Raw genomic sequence first — 18248 nt, forward strand, 5'->3', positions numbered from 1 at the left:
CGGCTCGTCCTGCTACACTGCTATGCCTCAGCCCTTGACCTCTGGGTGCCCGCTGCTCCATGCTGTGCCCCAAAGGGGGCATATTCACATTATCTCATTAAATCCTTACTTCAACCCATTTCCAGATGAGAAAACTGAGGCTCAGAGAGATTGGGCTCTCACCTATTCAAGGCGACATGCTTCAGGGAAGTGGTGAGCCCAAAGCTCATTCCACTTAGACCAGCAGCCTCCCAATGAGTGACTGAAGGGCAAGGCCGAGGCATTTGTGCTTTGAGGCTCTACTTCTGTATCCAGGTCAGACCCAGAATGCCACGGTGCTGTATAAATGCTCATCAGTCCAGGCTGGACCGCTCATGCCCAACTAAGGAACCTGCCCTGCAAATGGAAAACCAAGAAACAGGGCCAAAAAGATAAATGTTGCCAAGTTGCAATGGCAAGCAAGCCAGATTTGGGCAAAACCAAACCAGCCACTGGCCAGGTGCGGTGGCTCATGCCTGTAATCCCAACACTGGGAGGCCAAGGCAGGTGGATCGCTTGAGGTCAGGAATTCTAGACCAGCCTGGCCAATGTGGTGAAACCCCGTCTCTACTAAAAATACAGAAATTAGCTGGGCATGGTGGTGGGTGCCTGTAGTCCCAACTACTCGGGAAGCTGAGGCACAAGAACCACTTGAAACTGGGAGGTAGAGGTTTTGGTGAGCTGAGATCGCACCACTGCACTCCAGCCTGGGTGACAGAGAGAGACTCTGTCTCAAAAAAAAAAAAAAAAAAGAAAACTAATCCAGCCAGCAGCATAGAGCTGCCACTACAAACCCCAGGGACGCCCACTCTTCTACCTCTAGGCAGCCTCCAAAAATCCCCTCTACAGGTTGCACACCTGCCCACCAGAGCAGGGGGGAAGCCACAAATACCCCTGGACCAGCATGTCCAGCCCTGCATGCCTAGCTCAGCAGAGGGGGCCCCAGATGTCCTTGAGGGACTGAACTCAATTATTCTGTGCCTTCTCCTGACCACAGTCCTAAGGGTTGGGGGAAGGAGACAGGATGTCAGCCCCTGGCACCAGGTGACACCCACCCTTGGCTCCATCCCCAAAGTTCTCCCCCAGAGTCCTGCTGGGTTCTGTGGGTCCCAGGAAGTCATATCTGAACCCCGTGTATATGTCCACTGCTTCCACCCAATTCTCCAAAAAAAAAAAAAAAAAAATGACTGAATTCCTCTTAGAAATCTGGATGCTAACAGCTTCAGCATCTGGCCACCTGGACTCCAATCTTGGCTCACCAGCCCCTCACCAGCTGTGTGACCCTGCACCAGTGTCTTCACTTCTCTGAGCTTCAGTTTCCTCATCTGCAAAATGGGATAATAATGGTGCCTGTTTCTAGCATGAGCATTAAATAAAATACTCCGTGCTAAGCTATATGCCTGGATATGGTGTGGCAGAAACTGCAATGTGCTCACCACAAAGCATTTCCGATTCCTCTTAGGAATATGGCTAAAAGCCATTTCCCAGACTCCCTTGCAGTCAGATACGGCCATGTGGTCAAGTTCTGGTCCATAGAATTAAGACAGAAAGACAGCGTGCCACTTTAGGCTTGGTCCATAAAATTATTTCTCTCCTTCCTGGTCCATCAGCTAGAAGGAAATAACTCCAAGGTCCTAGGGGATGCCGCAACCACAAGACAGAAGGGATCTCGGTCCCTGGGTCGCCACATAGAAAGCCACCTGCCAAACACCCAACAGGGCTTTTCATGAATGAGAAATAAACTTCTATTGCGCTAAGCCTCTGAGAATTCAGGGTTTCACTATCACATTAGCTAGTGTTACCTTAATTACTACCTGCAGTTCAACAGCGGGTAAGTGTTGGCTATTACTACTGTTATCATTACTATCATGAGTATTATTGGCTCTTTCTAGTCCCCAAGCTAGAACCCTGTGCCTTGTTCTAGATGCTGAGACATTATTTGGTGACCAAATACAGAGGAGACACCCTTTGTACCCTTCCCTCCCCACTACCACCCTCCAAACTTGCCTTTTGCCAGGGCTAGCGGCAGGAACTAGCCAAAAAGCCCCTCAAAGATTACTCGTTTCAAACATAGCAGCTGCTCTTATCCGCTTACCCCTTCATTATCCTCCTGCTGCTGACTAGAAATTATGACAAAAATATTGAACCAACCACGAGCCAGGCCCTGTGCCCAAAACGTTACATCTGTCCCTTACCTGCTTTAACACTCCTGGCACCACCCTACTCACTTTACAGATGACAGCGTGAAGTCTCAGTGAAGTTAAATAATTGGCTCCAATGCACCCAGCCACAAAGAGCTCAAGTCACAGCCGCGACCTAGGTGTGCCTGATTCCAAAGGGTTTTTGTTTTTTGTTTGTTTGTTTTGTTTTGTTTTGTTTTTGAGATGGAGTCTCACTCTGTCACCCAGTCTGGAGTGCAATGGCACAATCTCGGCTCACTGCAACCTCCGCCTCCTGGGCTCAAGCAATTCTCCTACCTCAGCCTCCTGAGTAGCTGGGATTACAGGTATGCGCCACCGCGCCCAGCTAATTTTTGTATTTTTAGTAGAGACAGGGTTTCACCATGTTGGCCAGGCTGGTCTCAAACTCCTGACCTCAAGTGATCTACCCGCCTCGGCCTCTCAAAGTGCTGGGATTATAGGCATGAGCCACTGCGCCCAGCCCAGAGTTTTAAATAATAACAGCAAGCCGGGTGCAGTGACTCACACCTGTGGTCCCAACACTTTGGGAGGCTGAGGTAGGAGGATTGCTTGAGCCCAGGAGTTTGAGACCAGCCCTGGCAACATAGTGAGAATCCATCTCTACCAAAAAAAAAATACAAAAAATTGGCCTGGCATGGTGGCATGCACCTCCTGTAGTCCCAGTTCCTTGAGAGGCTGAGGCAGGAGGATTGCTTGAGCCTGGAAGGTTGAGGCTGCAATGAGCCATGGTTGTGTCACTGCACTCTAGCCTGGGTGATAGAGCAAGACCCTGTCTCAAATAAACAAAACCAGTAACGGCAATGACTTCCATCCTGCAGCGCCTGCTGTGTACCTGGCACCACCCCAGGACGCCGATGTGTATTATATAAGCCACTGCCTGGACTGCTGAGATGGCTCCCCGAGGGTCTCTATGCTTCCTGCTCATCCCCTCACCCACTCAAGTTTCACACAGTAAAGGTCATATCCCTCCCCTACCCAAGGCCCTCTACTAGCCCTTACCGCACCTAAAATGAAGTTCAAAGTCCTTCCATGGCCCACAGGGCCCACCAGATCTGGTCCCACTCCACTTCTCCCACCTCATCTCCTTTTTTTTTTTCTTTTTTTTTTTTTTTTGAGGCAGAGTCTTGCTCTGTTGCCCACGCTGGAGCTAGAGTGCAGTAATGCACGATCTCTGCTCACTGCAACCTCTGCCTCCTGGGTTCAAGCAATTCTCCTACCTCAGCCTCCCGAGTAGCTGGGATTATAGGCATGAACCACCATGCCCAGCTAATTTTTGCATTTTTAGTAGAGATGAGGTTTCACTGTATTGGCCAGGCTGGTCTTAAACTCCTGACCTCAAGTGATCCACCCACCTTGGCCTCCCAAAGTGCTGGGATTACAGGTGTGAGCCACCACACCCGGCTGCTCATGGCCTTCTTGATTCCTCAAACACCAGGCATGCACCCACCTCTGGGCCTTTGCACTGCCACTTTCTCTGCCTGGGACGCTCTTCCCTCTTCCTTTGCACAGCTGACTCCCCCGCTTGTCGGCCAGATTTTTGCTCAAAAGTATCACCTTCTGAGGGACCTACCCCTGACTCTCAGCTAAAGAGGTCCCTCCAGTGGCTGTTCCGTTTTCTCCAACATGTATGTTGTCTGTCTCCTCCTTTTTTTTTTCTTTGAGACAGGGTCTTGCTCTGTTGTCCAGGCTGGAGTGCAGTGGCAAAATCATGGCTCACTGCAGCCTTGACCTCCTGGGCTTAAGGGAGGCCCAGGAGGGGGGGCCTTTGGGAGGCCACCTCAGCCTCCTGAGTAGCTGGGACCACAGGTGCATGCCACCATGCCTGGCTAATTTTTTACTTGTTGTAGAGATGAGATGTTGCCCAGGCTAGTCTCCAACTCCTGGGCTCAAGCCGTTCTCCCACCTCAGCCTCCCAAAGTGCCAGGTTGGCTTAGTTCACTGCCACTTCCACAGTGCATGGGCTAAGGCCAAAGCTCCATGAAGAGCTGCTGAATGAATTAATGAATGCTAAGAGCCAAGGACACCAGCGAACACATATCCAGCATCTGCCGCATCCCAGAAGTTCAGGGTGAAAACCAGGGAGTGACCCCCACAGGGGCCACCTGGGTGGAAAGGGGGCCTCCCCTCCTAGGGCTGAAAGACTGGGGAGGGGAGGGTTAAGTCAGGGAAATGTGCGCGGGTGGGGAGCCTCCGAGATCCAGGGGTTGACTCCTGGAGTCGTGCCTGAACCTCGCTGTCCTCTGCTCCCGCCACAAGATCTGTTTATTAAGCACCTGCTGTGAGCCCAGCGAAAGAAAACAGAAATCTCTGTTTTCTGGCGTAAACAGACAGATGGCACCCTGAAGGCCCCCTCCCCAGGGTCCCCATTCCCCAGTCAATCGTCTTCCCAAGGGAGCTGTGACCTGGTCACCAGAGGGGCAGACATCCGCCCCAGCACGGTCGTCAGGCTTAAGTCTGTGTGAAAATCAGGAGGGAGCTCGTTCAAAATGCCCACTCCAGAGACGCTGCCGGGCACAGGGGCCTGAGGCCCCATGGTGAGAGGCGCAAGGGGTGCAGGGCCCCATCCCCGCACAGCATCCGGCGGCCCTGCCTCCGTGGCCAGCCCAACCGCGCGCTCTGGGCCTCAGTTTACCCATCCGCACAATGGAGATGCTTCCGACTCGGCAGGGTTGCAATGAAGACGAAACCGCGTCCCACACTAGGAGGGCAGTGCAGGGCGGGGCCCGCACGCAGGAGCTGCAGAGGGCATCTGCGAGGGGTAGCGGCCGTCGCGAGGGCCTCCCACGGCCGCCCGCGGAGCGAGGGGACCCCGACCGGCGGAGGGACGGCTGCGCCCTGCAGGCCGCTGCGCCCAGGCAGGCCTCTGCGCCCGGGCAGGCCTCGGCCTCCTGTCGCGCCCCCGGCCCGCGACAATCCGGGCAGGATGGGCGGCAGGACGCGGAGGGGCATCTGCGGAGCCCGTCGGGAACGCCCTCTTGGCTTCCGGTGCCGGGCAGCGGCGGGCGCGGCGCCCACAGCGCCCCTAGCCCCGGGACATGGCTCCAGCCCGCCCCCAGGCGAGCGGCCTCCTTCGCCCGGAGCGCGTCGGTCCAGCCCCCGCGCACGCGCGCACCCCCAGCCTCCTACCTTCGCTCGCCTTCTCCGCAGCCGCTGCCGCCGAGGCCGAGGGGCCGCACCGGGTGCGGCGGGGCGGGGCGTCCCTTCCACTAGGCGGGGAGAACCGGGGGCGGAGCCTGCGCCGCGCGAGAGAGGCTCAGGCCGGGGCGGAGGCGAGGCCGGGGCCGAGGCGGGGGCGGGGGCGGGGCCGGGCGCCAGGGGCCGCGGGTCTGCGGCGCTTACAGGGACCACCCTGGGCGGAAACGCCTGGTGAGCCCTCCCGCTTGCAGCCTCGCACCGCCGGGCAAGCTAGGCTCCTCCTGCACGCACGAAGGAGGATTCCACAGGAACGAACCACGACCCCCAAGGTTTCGCAGTTGTAAGACCGCAGCGCAGGATCGAAACCCCGACCCGGCTGCAGAGTCCCCCTGCGGTTTGGCCGGGCCTCAAAGGCCTGAAACTCCTGACCCATCGCCCAGCCAGAACGAGGGGACGTTTCATGCCAGCCCTGTCACAGCCCCCAACGACGATCCCGAAGCTTCGGTGATTTGACCGGTCAGAGAGAATGCCTTTGTTTTCCTGACTGACGTGCAATCCTGGGGAAGGCACTCTGGCCTCATTTTGTTCGCGAGACTCAACCCGGCGGCGCGCCTGTCTCGTGTCCTTTCTACTGTAACAATATGTTCGTTTCAACCCCCGACTGGGCTTCGACCTCCTTCTGTTATTGAAGGCATGGGATGAAATCATTCTTCTTTTTTTTTTTTTTTTTGAGGGAGTCTCACTCTATTGCCCAGGCAGTGGTGTAATCTCGGCTAAATGCAACCTCCGCCTCCCGGATTCAAGAGATTCTCCTGCCTCAGCCTCCTGAGTAGCTGGGACTACAGGCGCCCGCTGCCACGCCCGGCTGATTTTTTTTTTTTTTTTTTTTTTTTTGAGACGGAGTCACCCAGGCTGGACTGCAGTGGCGCGATCTCGGCTCACTGCAAGCTCCGACTTCCCGTTTCCCGCCATTCTCCTGCCTCAGCCTCTCTGAGTAGCTGGGACTACAGGTGCCCGCCACCACGCCGGGCTAATTTTTTGTATTTTTAGTAGAGACAGGGTTTCACCGTGGTCTCGATCTCCTGACCTCATGATCTGCCCGCCTCGGCCTCCCAAAGTGCTGGGATTACAAGCGTGAGCCACTGTGCCCGGCCAAATTTTTGTATTTTTAGTAGAGACGGGGTTTCACCATATTGGCCAAGCTTGTCTCGAACTCCTGACCTCGCGATCCACTCGTCTTGGCTTCCCAAAGTACTGGGATTACAGGCGTGAGCCACCGCACCCGGCCGAGATCATTCATTTTCAAAGGGAGAGGCAGCTCTGAATCTCTAGGGCTAAGAGAGGGATGTGTTTGGTTTGAAAAAGCATGTTTAATTTAATGATTTTGTGTTTTTTCCAAACACAGTACCCAGAGAGAACGGCCAGCAGGCCCGCGGCTGATGGTTGCTTCTGTGTTTCCTGCGTGGTAGGAGGGAAGCAGTGGAAGTTCCATCTTTGTCAAAGAGGAACCTGTCTGTGACATCTGAAACACTGCACTAAAGGCTGCCAGTGTGCCCTTCGGGCTCTGAAACCCGGCCCAGTGCAAGCAAGACTGTGGCCTGGACCAGGGCTGAGAGCTGTTTGTCAGGAGAGATTCGGGCCATTCCCTGGGGTTTGGGTTGGAAGGGTGATGTTACCAAGATTGGAAGGAAGGTCACAGTTTCCCTGAGGTGTCCCTGGCCCAACTGCAGGAGGGCTGACTGACATCTGCCAGTATGCACAGCCAGTCCCTGGATGCCCAGCATGGCCCAGGTCTGTGTGACCCTGTCTGGAGTCCCCAGACTTGCTATGTCCCTACCCAGGCCCTGGTGGGCTCATGACCTCCCCAGTCCAGTTCTGATGCTGCCTGTCCCTGTGAAGCCCACTCCAGTGTTCATATCACCAGGGCTGGGCTCAGGCCTGTGTCCTTGCCCCTCTCTCCAGGGCATCTTGGGTCTCCCTTGGTGACAGTACCTGCACCCTGCGGGCAGCCTGCGCTGGCTGTGAACCACACTGCCGCCTACTTCCTCTTCTATGTTCCCGCTCTGTCCACAGTCCCCTCTGAACACTCCCGTGAAGCAGGTTCTAGGATCATCTCCATTTTATAGAAGGGGAGATTGAGGATCAGAGACATGCAGTCATTTGCCCAAGGACACACGCAGGAAGTTCAATGGCTTCCAATCCCATGCTCTTTCCTCTACACCGTGCTGACTCACTTGAGGTTTTAACAGGGGGCGGCAAACACAGCTCCTCTCCCCTTGACCCTCTCACTCCCAAAGCCCATAGGACCCTGCCGCAGGGTGGCACATACTTAACCTCCTTGGGGGGGCCTCCAGCTCCCCTCTCTGTGTAGAGCCTACGTTCCCTGCTGTGCTGAGTCCTTGGCTCTGCTCAGCTCAGCCTGACCGGGCTGCGGTCATTTGAATCCCCAGTGCTGCCGCCCACCGGTCACCCTGTCCTGTCACCAGGTGGTGACTGGCCCAGTGACCCCCAAGACAACCCGCCAGAAAAGAATCATGCCAGGTGCTCACCTGCTCACTGCAGAGGGCTCTAAATCTGCAACTCAGGTAACAGGGAAACAACTGATTGGAGTTACCACCCTCAGGTTGCTAAGGCCAAGTGCCTGCCAAATCCAGCGGCTCGGCTGGGGTGGACTCTGCCCACCATCAGCAAAACGACATTCACCAGGAGGCTTAGAGGTAATTGCTCTGGTTAACTGGATTTGCTGGGCATCTGAAGGCTAACTTGCAGAGTCTTTCTATCATGCCAGACTTTAATAGCAAAAAGTTAGAAAGACCTAAACATTCAGCAGTAGGGGACTTGTATAATAAACCATGGGTTATTCATATAATGGCACACTATGATGTCATTCCAAATGTTATAGAAGAATGTTCAATGACTGGACAGATGGTTACGATATATTAAGTGAAAGTTTCAGAAAAGTAATACAGAATAAGCCCATATTGTAAAAAAAAAAAAAAAAGATTTCCTTTTTTTTTTTGAGACGGAGTTTCGCTCTTGTCACCCAGGCTGAAGTACACTGGCGCAATCTCGGCTCACTGCAACCTCTGCCTCCTGGGTTCAAGCAATTCTCCTGCCTCAGCCTCCCAAGTAACTGGGATTACAGGCGCCTGCCACCACACCCAGCTAATTTTTGTATTTTTAGTAGAGGTGGGGTTTCAGTGTGTTGGCCAGACTAGTCTTGAATTCCTAACTTCAAGTGATCCACCCACCTCGGCCTCCCGAAGTGCTGGGATTACAGACATCATCCACCAGCCCAACAATTCACTCCTGACCCAATGATTAAAAAAAAAAAACTTGTAGGCCGGTTGTGGTGGCTCACAATGTACTACATTTGTAGACATTTTGGTGCCTTAATGTGAGCAAGGGTTGCACAAGTTTTGATAGGCATGTATTCCAGAGATGTATAGAAATTCTAGTTACTGGCTGGGCACGGTGGCTCATGCCTGTAATCCCAGCACTTTGGGAGGCCAAGGCGGTGGATCACGAGGTCAGGAGTTCAGGACCAGCCGGGCCAAGATGGTGAAACCTTGTCTCTACTAAAAATACGAAAATTAGCTGGGTATGGTGGCGGGCACCTGTAATTCCAGCTACTTGGGAGGCTGAGGCAGAGAATTGCTTGAACCCAGGAGATGGAGGTAGCAGTGAGCCGAGATTGTGCCACTGCACGCCAGCCTGGGAAACAGAGCAAGACTCTGTCTCAAAAAAAAAAAAAAAAAAAGCAGACATTCTAGTTACTTATAAATTTTTGGGAAAGAAGCCTGGAACTAGATTCTTGCTTTAGATAGTAAGGAACTCTAATTGCCTCTAAATTCCTCAGATAAGGAGTTTTGCCTCTGGATGGTCTGCTTTATGGCCACCAGGTGATTTTTGCTAGCCTTGGTGACCTTTTACGTGTAGGATTTTTTTTTTTTTGGATACGGAGTCTCGCTCTGTTGCCCAGGCTGGAGTGCAGTGGCGCAACCTCGGCTCACTGCAATCTCCCCTACTAGGGTTCTAGCGATTCTCCTACCTCAGCCTCCCAAGTACCTGGGATTACAGGCACCCGCCACCATGCCTGGCTCATTTTTTTGTATTTTAATAGAGATGGGGTTTCGCCATATTGGCCAGGCTGGTCTTGAACTTCTGACCTCAGGTGATCAACCCGAGGTTGGCCTCCCCAAGTGCTAGGATTACAGGCATGAGCCACCCTGCCCAGCCCTAACGGTGGGCTTTTTTTTTTTGAGGCAGGGTTTCACTGTCTCCCAGGCTGGAGTGCATGGAGAGCAGTTGTTCCAGCATAGTGATTACATGGTTTTTATATCATTCCATTTTCTTTCCTTTGTTGGCTTATTAGGTATAACTCTTTCTTTCTTCTGGTCCACCACTCCCTGACTTCTTTCCCTCCTTTTGCTTTTTCAGTGAAGGCTTCAGGGTTTCCAGAATACATCTTTATCAGTGCCATCTAGTGACATTATACCTCCCCTTCTGGCCATTATGCTAGTGTTGTCATGTAATTTGATTTTAGACATGTTATAAAACCCAGAATCCATTATTATTGCCTTTGTTTAATCGGTCAAATTATTTTAAAAGATTTAAATAATAAGAACATGTATATTTAACTGTGTACATACCGATTTCCAGTAGTCTCCATTTCTTTGTGTAGATGCAGATTTCTGTCTGGTATCCTTGTAGTGTGGGTTGCTGAATTCTTTCATTTTTTTGTATGTCTTTAAATGTCCTTATTTCAGTCACATTCTTGAAAGATTTTTCACTTTGACATGGAATTCTAGGAAAACTTTATTTCTTTCAGTACTTTAGGATGTTGCCACTTTGTTTTTGTAAAACTGGCATAAAGTTGGCTTCCTGTACTTATATAATTTTTGGAATGTGTATTTAAGTTAAAAACATTAAAATGGGCTGGACCAGGTGGTGCATGCCTGTAGTCCCAGCACTTTGGGAGGAGGAGACAGGAGGATCGCTTGAGGACCAGAGTTGGAGACCAGTATGGGCAAGATTGCAAGACCCTGTCTCTCTGTCTCTCATACACACACACACACACACACATCATGAATGTCTTAGATTCATTGTAAGTTCCACCGACAGTGCGCTTAAAGTAAAATGTGCCCAACCTGAGGGTCAAACCTACCTGCTGACATGTAGTTTGTGCTTGTGAGACATTCTCAACAGCATTTCCTTTCCCTAGCATAGTGGTTTTCGTGTTTTCCTCACACCTGAATGTCTTAAGTGCAAAACCTGTCAGTCAGAAATCATTTCCTTTGCCAAAAGATTCTAAAATACTTTTTTTTTTTTTTTTTAGGCCAGGTGTGGTGGCTCACGCCTGTAATTCCAGCACTTTGGGAGGCCAAGGTGGACGGATCATGAGGTCAGGAGATCGAGACCATCCTGGCTAACATGGTGAAACCCTGACTCTACTAAAAATACAAAAACAAAATTAGCTGGGTGTGGTGGTGGGCGCCTGTAGTCCCAGCTACTCCGGAGGCTGAGGTGGGAGAATGGCGTGAACCCAGGAGGCGGAGCCTGCAGTGAGCTGAGATGGTGCCACTGCACTGCAGCCTGGGCAACAGAGCGAGACCCCGTCTCTAAATAAATAAATAAATAAATAAATAAATAAAATAAAGTGAAATAAATTTTTTTTGACATCAGCTCACTGCAACTTCCACTTCCCATGTTCACAGGATTCTCCCGCCTCAGCCTCATGAGTAGCTGAGACTACAGGCCTGCACCAACACACCCAGCTAATTTTTGTATTTTTAGTAGAGACAGAGTTTCACCATGTTGGCCAGGCTGGTCTCAAACTCCTGACCTCAAGTAATCTGCCCACCTCTGCCTCCCAAGGTGTTGGGATTACAGGCGTGAGCCACTGCGCCTGGCCAAAAATACTCTTACTTCAAGGAAAAGTGCTTTAAAAATAAACTTCTCAGTTGCATCCCTGGAATCCATAGAAAGCCCAGGAGAGACAATCAAGTACTACAGGATCAAGCATTAAACAGGGGAAGACAAAGCCTGGCTTCCTAACTAGGAGTCAGGACAAAGTTATCTGCTTTGGTTTCCTATGGAGACCAGAACTCGGTTCACCTGCAAAGGGAGGATGCAGCCCAGAGGAGGCAGACTTTCTCTTCATGGTGCCTTCAGATAGGAAATCTCCTAGGATTTCTTTCTTTCACTTTGATCTACTCCCAATGCTCCCTTTCTGTTTCTTCAAGACCTTTCTTGGATCCCTAATGTGCAGGACCTAAGGGGCTGGTGCCCTTCCCTACCCTTCCTGCCTGGGTGTCTTCAGCACCGGAGCTCACACAGAATGTTACTGCCTGCCAGAGACAGTGAGAGGACCAAGGAGGGCGATGGGTGCAGTGGGAACTACTGAGTCACCATGTACCTGTGCCTCATGGGCTCCTAGCAAATTGAATAAACACTCCCTGAAGCATGGCACCAGTTCCAAGTACAATTACTACTTGGCTCTATGAGCTGAGTGCACGTTCCCCCCAGCACGGAAATCCTAGAAACTCCCATGGATGCTATAGTGAAAAGCAGGGGCTGGCCAGGTATGATGGATCACACCTGTAATCCCAGTGCTTTAGAAGGCTGAGGTAGGGCGGATCATTTGAGTCCAGGAGTTGGAGACCAACCTGGGCAACATGGAGAAACTTCAACTCTTAAAAAACAAAACAACCACCACAACAACAAAAACAACAGAAATTAGCTGGCTGTGGTGACTCGTGCCTCTGCTACTCCAGAGGCTGTGGTAGGAGGATCACTTGAACCAAGATGCCACCAGATACAGTGAGACTCTGTCTCAGGGAAAAAGTCAAACAAACAAAAAAAGAGGCTGTGTAAGAGGTGATTCTGGGGACAGCGGAAAAACACTAAGGTTTTCAAGTGGTGTTAAAAGCCAGTAGGCCTTGGGGACCATTGAGCAATCTACAAAGCAGGGAAGCCTAGATCCCTGAGCTCTGCCTGCCAAGTACCACCACAGCTAACATGGGAGACCTCCCCCACAGAGACTGAAATTTGCCTCCCAAGGAAACAAGTGACTACAGACATCTGTCCCAGGACAGTAAACAAGAAAACAAGGTGTCACAAAAACAAAAACAGCTGACCACAGCATACAATCACTGAGACTGAGCCTGCGACTATAGGCAAAAAAAAAAAAAAAAAAAAAAAATGCCGTCTATTATTCATACCATGAAAGACCAGGGGAAAGTGTGAACGCAGTCCCCTACTACTGTTGTGGGAATCAGGAGAACAGAGAGACCGATAGGTGGAACAGGAGGATTTATTGACTGCACTCAGGCACAGTGGATTAAAATCCAAAAGCTGAGCCATGAACAAAGACAGGGCTTGACTTTATAGACACTTCTGAAAGGGGGTTGGCTAGTTTGAATGGCGCGGCGGGAATTTGATGGCACGAAACTCGTGGGGCAGGCAAGAGGGCTTACAGAAGCAGAAGAAAGGCAGCTAATCAAACTGTCACAGGTCTTGCAATGCAAGTATGGCTGGTGACCTTGCAGCTGCACTGAAGGGAAATCGGGAACTTAACAAAACTTGAATAATTAGAAATGGAAAGGGGGAAAGAGAAGGTAGTAAAGGCATTTGTTGTTTTTTCCTCTTATCTTTGCTAGGGGCTGTGTTGAGAGAGTCTCCGGAACGCATTCCTCGGGGCTCTGACTTTTCAGATCGTGTTACCGAGGATCTGCTAGGGCTCTATCTATGGCAGGTCTTGGAGTCAGCCAAGTACAGGGAAACCTGTCTTTTCCTTTTAACTTCTGCCTGATTACTACAAGTTGTACAGCACACCATGCCTGGTTTTCATCAGCAATGTTTCCTGAGGTTACAGAAAGATTTCTAATCCTGGGAGGAAACACTCCCTTGAAGCAAAAGTGTTCTCCCCCAAAAAATGCAAGGAGCTATCTTCTTGATAGCCAGGCAGATAATTCTCAGGTTTTGCCCCACAGAATCTCGATCTAAAATAGAGCAGTGGTCATGCCTAGTGAAAAGTTTGAGGGAACTCACCCAACGTTGGGTTTCTTCAGAGCCATATATATAGATATAACCAAATATCCTAAAAGACACTGCCCTTCATCATTCCATGCTGTTAGACATTTATAGGACCATGGATGGTGATCTCCTCCAGACAAAAATAAATGCTGGTGCAGAACAGGTAAGTGTATTATAATTTGAGTACATCAGCTTTTGGGCATTTTAAACCATGGGTCAGACATGTTAAAGAAAGAGCCAGGTTGATAGTAAAAGGGAGTGTTTTTCTATTAATTTTCCAATAGCAAAGTGATGTTTGCCACTGTCATTTCAGAGTGAGGGGACAATTTGTTGTTGTTTGGTTTTGTGGGTTTTTGTTTGTTTGTTTGTTTGTTTGTTTTTGAGACAAGGTCTCACTGTCACCCAGGCTGGAGTGCAGTGGCATGATCAGGGTTTACTTCTGCCTTGACCTCATGAATTCAAGCAAACCTCCTTACTAATCCTCCCAAGTAGCTGGGACTACAGGCACGTGGCCCCACACCCTGGGGTGTGAACTGGGATTTGATGTTTTCAGTTGGCTCTCTAATGGAATAGGTTCCCTTACTCTTGTAGAATCAGATTGTCTTCATGATTATCATTCTTGTGTGCATTATATTTCTACTACCCTGCTGTTTTTTTTTCTATTTTTCTTTTTATTTTTTTCTTTGTGAGACAGAGTCTCGCTCTGTCTCCCAGGCTGTATTGCAGTGGCAGGATCTCAGCTCACTGCAACCTCCACCTCCTGGGTTCAAGCAATTCTTTTGCTTCAGCCTCCTGAGTAGCCACCTGGCTAATTTTTGTATTTTTAGTGGAGACAGGGTTTCACCATGTTGGCAGGCTGGTCTCGAACTCCTGACCTCAAGTGATTCACCCGCCTCAGCCTCCCAAAGTGCTGGGATTACAGGCATGAACTACCACACCTGGCTCTCAAACCATTTTAGTTAAGCAAAGACAGATTTGTCTGGCTTTTTAGTACAATGCTGAATTATCCTCCAATCTATATTTTTAGGAAGGACCTGGGGAATGGCAACTTGGAGATATTTGGTGAAAATGTGAACCTTTCATGTTCTGCTTCAGTCTCTTTTTGAAAATCCTTCCAATTTACCTTTTGCAACCAGTTAGTGGCCTTCCCTTCTTCACCAGCATGTGAATTAATTGATAAAGATCAGAATATTTGGGCTCAAAGGTTTCAACAGTTAAGTCAAATTTTCTGCCAAAGCCTACAGGATCTTGGAGCCTGCTTTAGAAACAGAAGAGTGAAATGTATTTAAGTTTAGATCAGGGAAGTCCTTTATAATATTCTTAATTCACGTTTTGGTGAAGTGGTATACACAACGGTAGGCTCCCCTCTTCCTGTGGGTTTGGGTTTTACCTTGAAAGGGGCTGTCAGAACAGAAGTTTCAGGGAGGGGTCCAGACCCCTGGGGACTTTCCTTAGGTGATGGTGATGGAAGAAGAGGCAAGGCAGGACAGGAAGGCTCAGGTAAGAAAGACTATGCAGGTGCAGGGGCAGGAGGAGAAGGAGCAGCTGGAAGTGAAAGAGACAAAGCCTCCTCAATATTTCTCAATTCAGAAAACATGACAGTTTACCTCCTTCAGCTTACTTCCTGGATGGAGGCAATTTTCTCAGTTCTTTTAGAAATTTTAGAAATTTAGACATTTCTAGGTCTCATTAGAAGTAAGTCTCCCATTTAATTTGTCTGATTCTAAAACCAAATTTCTCTCTCTCTCTTTTTTTTTTTTTTTGAGACAGGGTCACCTAGACTGGAGTGCAGTGGTGTGATCTCCGCTTACTGCACTCACCGCTTGCTGCATGACAGCCAAGATGTCGAGGGTTGAGGTGTAGGGGCAGGGAAGGTGACTTTATTCCAGAGAGCCACCAAACTGAACAGATGGTGAAGTAACATCCTGAAGAACCATCTTAAATTAATACGATTTTCCGGCTCCTTGTACGTTAGGGAAGGGAGGAAGAAGGAGGCGCTTGAGGTGAAGAGGTCTGACAATGACAGACATGGGCTGCAGTGGGAGCCCAAGGGGATGGTGAAAATTGTTCGTCCTTTGTCAGGTCACACTGCTCTTATAAATCTTCAGCATAACACTGTTACTTGTGTATACAACCTCTCTATCTTCTCAGGAGTTAGTTTGGGGAAGGGATTATTATCATCTGTGCTTTAAAGTTAAACTGTAAGCTAAATCCCTCCCATAGATAGCTTGGCCTATGTGCAGAAATAAGAAAAAGCAGTTAGCCTGGAAGATGTCACCACAGGGTAGGAAGGGTTAGGAGCAAAATGCAGTCAGTCATGCTAGGCCTCATTTTCATTGCCATATATTTAATGTATTTGAACACATAATTTTAATTTTTTATATTTATTTTTATTAATTTATTAGTTTTTTGAGACAGAGTCTCACTCTGTTGCCCCCCCAGGCTGGAGTGCAATGGCGTGATCTTGGCTCACTGCGACCTCTGCCTCCTGAGTTCAAGCAATTCTCCTGCCTCAGCCTTCTGAGTAGCTGGGATTACAGGAGCCCCCCACCATGCCCGGCTAATGTTTGTATTTTTAGTAGAGACAGGGTTTCACCATGTTGGCCAGGCTGGTCTCAAACTCCTGACCTCGGGCTCCCAAAGTGCTTGGACTACAGGCATGAGCCACCATGCCCAGCCTAACCAAGATTATTAAACCATTCTAATTTGTCAAAAGAGTCACACTGATTTTTAAAAAATAATGTAATGGGCCAGGTGCAGTGGCTCATGCCTGTAACCCCAGCACTTTGGGAAGCCATAGCAGGAGGATCATGAGGTCAGGAGTTCAAGACAGCCTGACCAACGTGGTGAAACCCCGTGTCTACTAAAAATACAAAAATTAGCCAGGTGTGGTGGTGTGTGCCTGTAATCCCAGCTACTCAGGAGGCTGAGACAGGAGAATTGCTTGAACCCGGGAAGCAGAGGTTGCAGTGAGCCGAGATTGCACCACTGCACTCTAGCTTAGGCGACAGAGTGAGACTACATCTCAAAATAAATAAATAAATAAATAAATAAATAAAATAATAATGTAATGAACTTTTTCATGTCTTTATATAATAAATATTACATTATTTAAATTGTTCAAAAGCATCAAAGATTCCTCTCTGCTATCAATTTCATTTCATTTATTTTATTGTACCAAACTACCAGGACCATTAATTTAATCTACAGCTAAATCTATTATTCTTTCATGTTAGAAATTCAACAAGAAAATTTTTCCCTAATGAAACCTCACATTTCAAGCATAAGGAGCCTGGGCGAGTTGGCTCACACCTGTAATCCCAGCACTTTGGGAGGCCGAGACAGGTGCATCACTTGAGGTCAGGAGTTAGAGACTAGCCTGGCAAACATGATGAAACCCTGTCTCTACTAAAAATATAAAAATTAGCTGGGCGTGGTGGCATGTGCCTGTAATCCCAGCTACTCTGGAGGCTGAGGCAGGGAAATAGCTTCAACCTGGGAAGCAGAGCTTGCAGTGAGCTGAGATGGCACCACTGCACTCTAGCCTGGGCTACAGAGCAAGACTCTGTCTCAAAAATAAATAAATAGATAAATAAGCATAAGTAGTAAAAAAATAACATAAATTTAAAAATAAGGCACAGGGTCTTGCTCTGTTATCCAGGCTAGAGTGCAGCGGGGCAATCATAGCTGACCAACTTGGAACTTCTGGGCTCAGGCAATCCTCCTGGCTCAGCTTGCCTTGTATTTTTTTAGAGACGAGGTCTTGCCCTGTTCCCCAGGCTGGTCTCCAACCGCTGGCCTAAAGCAATCCTTCCCCCTCAGCCTGTTGAGTTGCTGGGAGTACAGGTGCAAGACATGCAGCCTAGCATTGTAGTAAAACAATTTTCAACAAATTCTTAATTTTCTTTCCTTTTTTTTTTTTTTTTGAGTTGGGAGTCTCATTCTGTCACTCAGGCTGGAGGGCAGTGGCACAATCATAGTTCACTGCAGCCTGAGATTACAGTCATGCATTATCATGCCCGGCCAGCTTTAAAAAAATTAGCTAATACTTAAAAATTTGTAGAGACAGGGGTTTCACTGTGTTGCCCAGGCTGGTCTCCAACTCTTAAAGTGCTGGGACTGTAGCTATGAGCCACCATACCTGGCTTAATTTTCTTATTTTAATTTTATATAAATGATTATTATTGTTCCTAAGATAATTGGGGCAGTGACTCCTTTACAATTGTAGAGATCTAATTTGTCTATTCACTTCACTGAAAGAGTATGCCAATTTGTTTCATGAGAAAATATCCTATATTTATAAAGCAGGAAAATTCCTTCCACCAAACTAGGGTGCATTCTAAAGAAATGAATTGTGCTAAGTAACATCACTTAAAGTGAAAACAGAGGCAATGGTATCTATTAACAATGTTTATCAGTGAAGGAAATAAACTGAAAAGATGAACATCATTAGATCCTTGGAGGGCCTTCATTGCTGAAAATCTGAGTAACAGTGTGATACTCTTTTGAGTCTGGCAGGACATTCTCTTTCCAGGGCATGCAACAGTGGGTGAATAATTTCTTTTCATTCATTTCCATTAAGGGCTGAACTTCCTTAATGTTCTGGAGATTATTAAATTTGATTTGTATAGTTGTGAAAAGTACTCATATTGCTGATTCCATTGCTTATATGTGATCATATAAATCTTTTCTCTTTTGGTAGTGTGGTTTAAACTTAATCCTTAAAGGGCATGTATTTGAATTTTTCAGCTGGTTAGAAACCTGAATATACCAATCAAATAAAACTGCTCCTTACATGCTACAGATTTAGTTTTCTTCCTGTACTAAGATGTCTTTTAGATACAGTAAATTTGTTAA

The 18248-nt window shown here is 48.7% G+C and overlaps 2 annotated features.

The window, feature by feature from the left end:
- Positions 4981-5570: a silencer, noted in NCBI's record as "silent region_331". NCBI's record gives its function as "represses an Ori minimal core promoter by ATAC-STARR-seq in GM12878 lymphoblastoid cells {active_cell/tissue: GM12878}" and the evidence as "EXISTENCE:reporter gene assay evidence [ECO:0000049][PMID:35858748]".
- Positions 5671-5730: a silencer, noted in NCBI's record as "silent region_332". NCBI's record gives its function as "represses an Ori minimal core promoter by ATAC-STARR-seq in GM12878 lymphoblastoid cells {active_cell/tissue: GM12878}" and the evidence as "EXISTENCE:reporter gene assay evidence [ECO:0000049][PMID:35858748]".

The sequence above is a fragment of the Homo sapiens genome, chromosome 1 (genome assembly GCF_000001405.40).
Source record: "Homo sapiens chromosome 1, GRCh38.p14 Primary Assembly".
NCBI classification, from domain to species: Eukaryota; Metazoa; Chordata; class Mammalia; order Primates; family Hominidae; genus Homo; species Homo sapiens.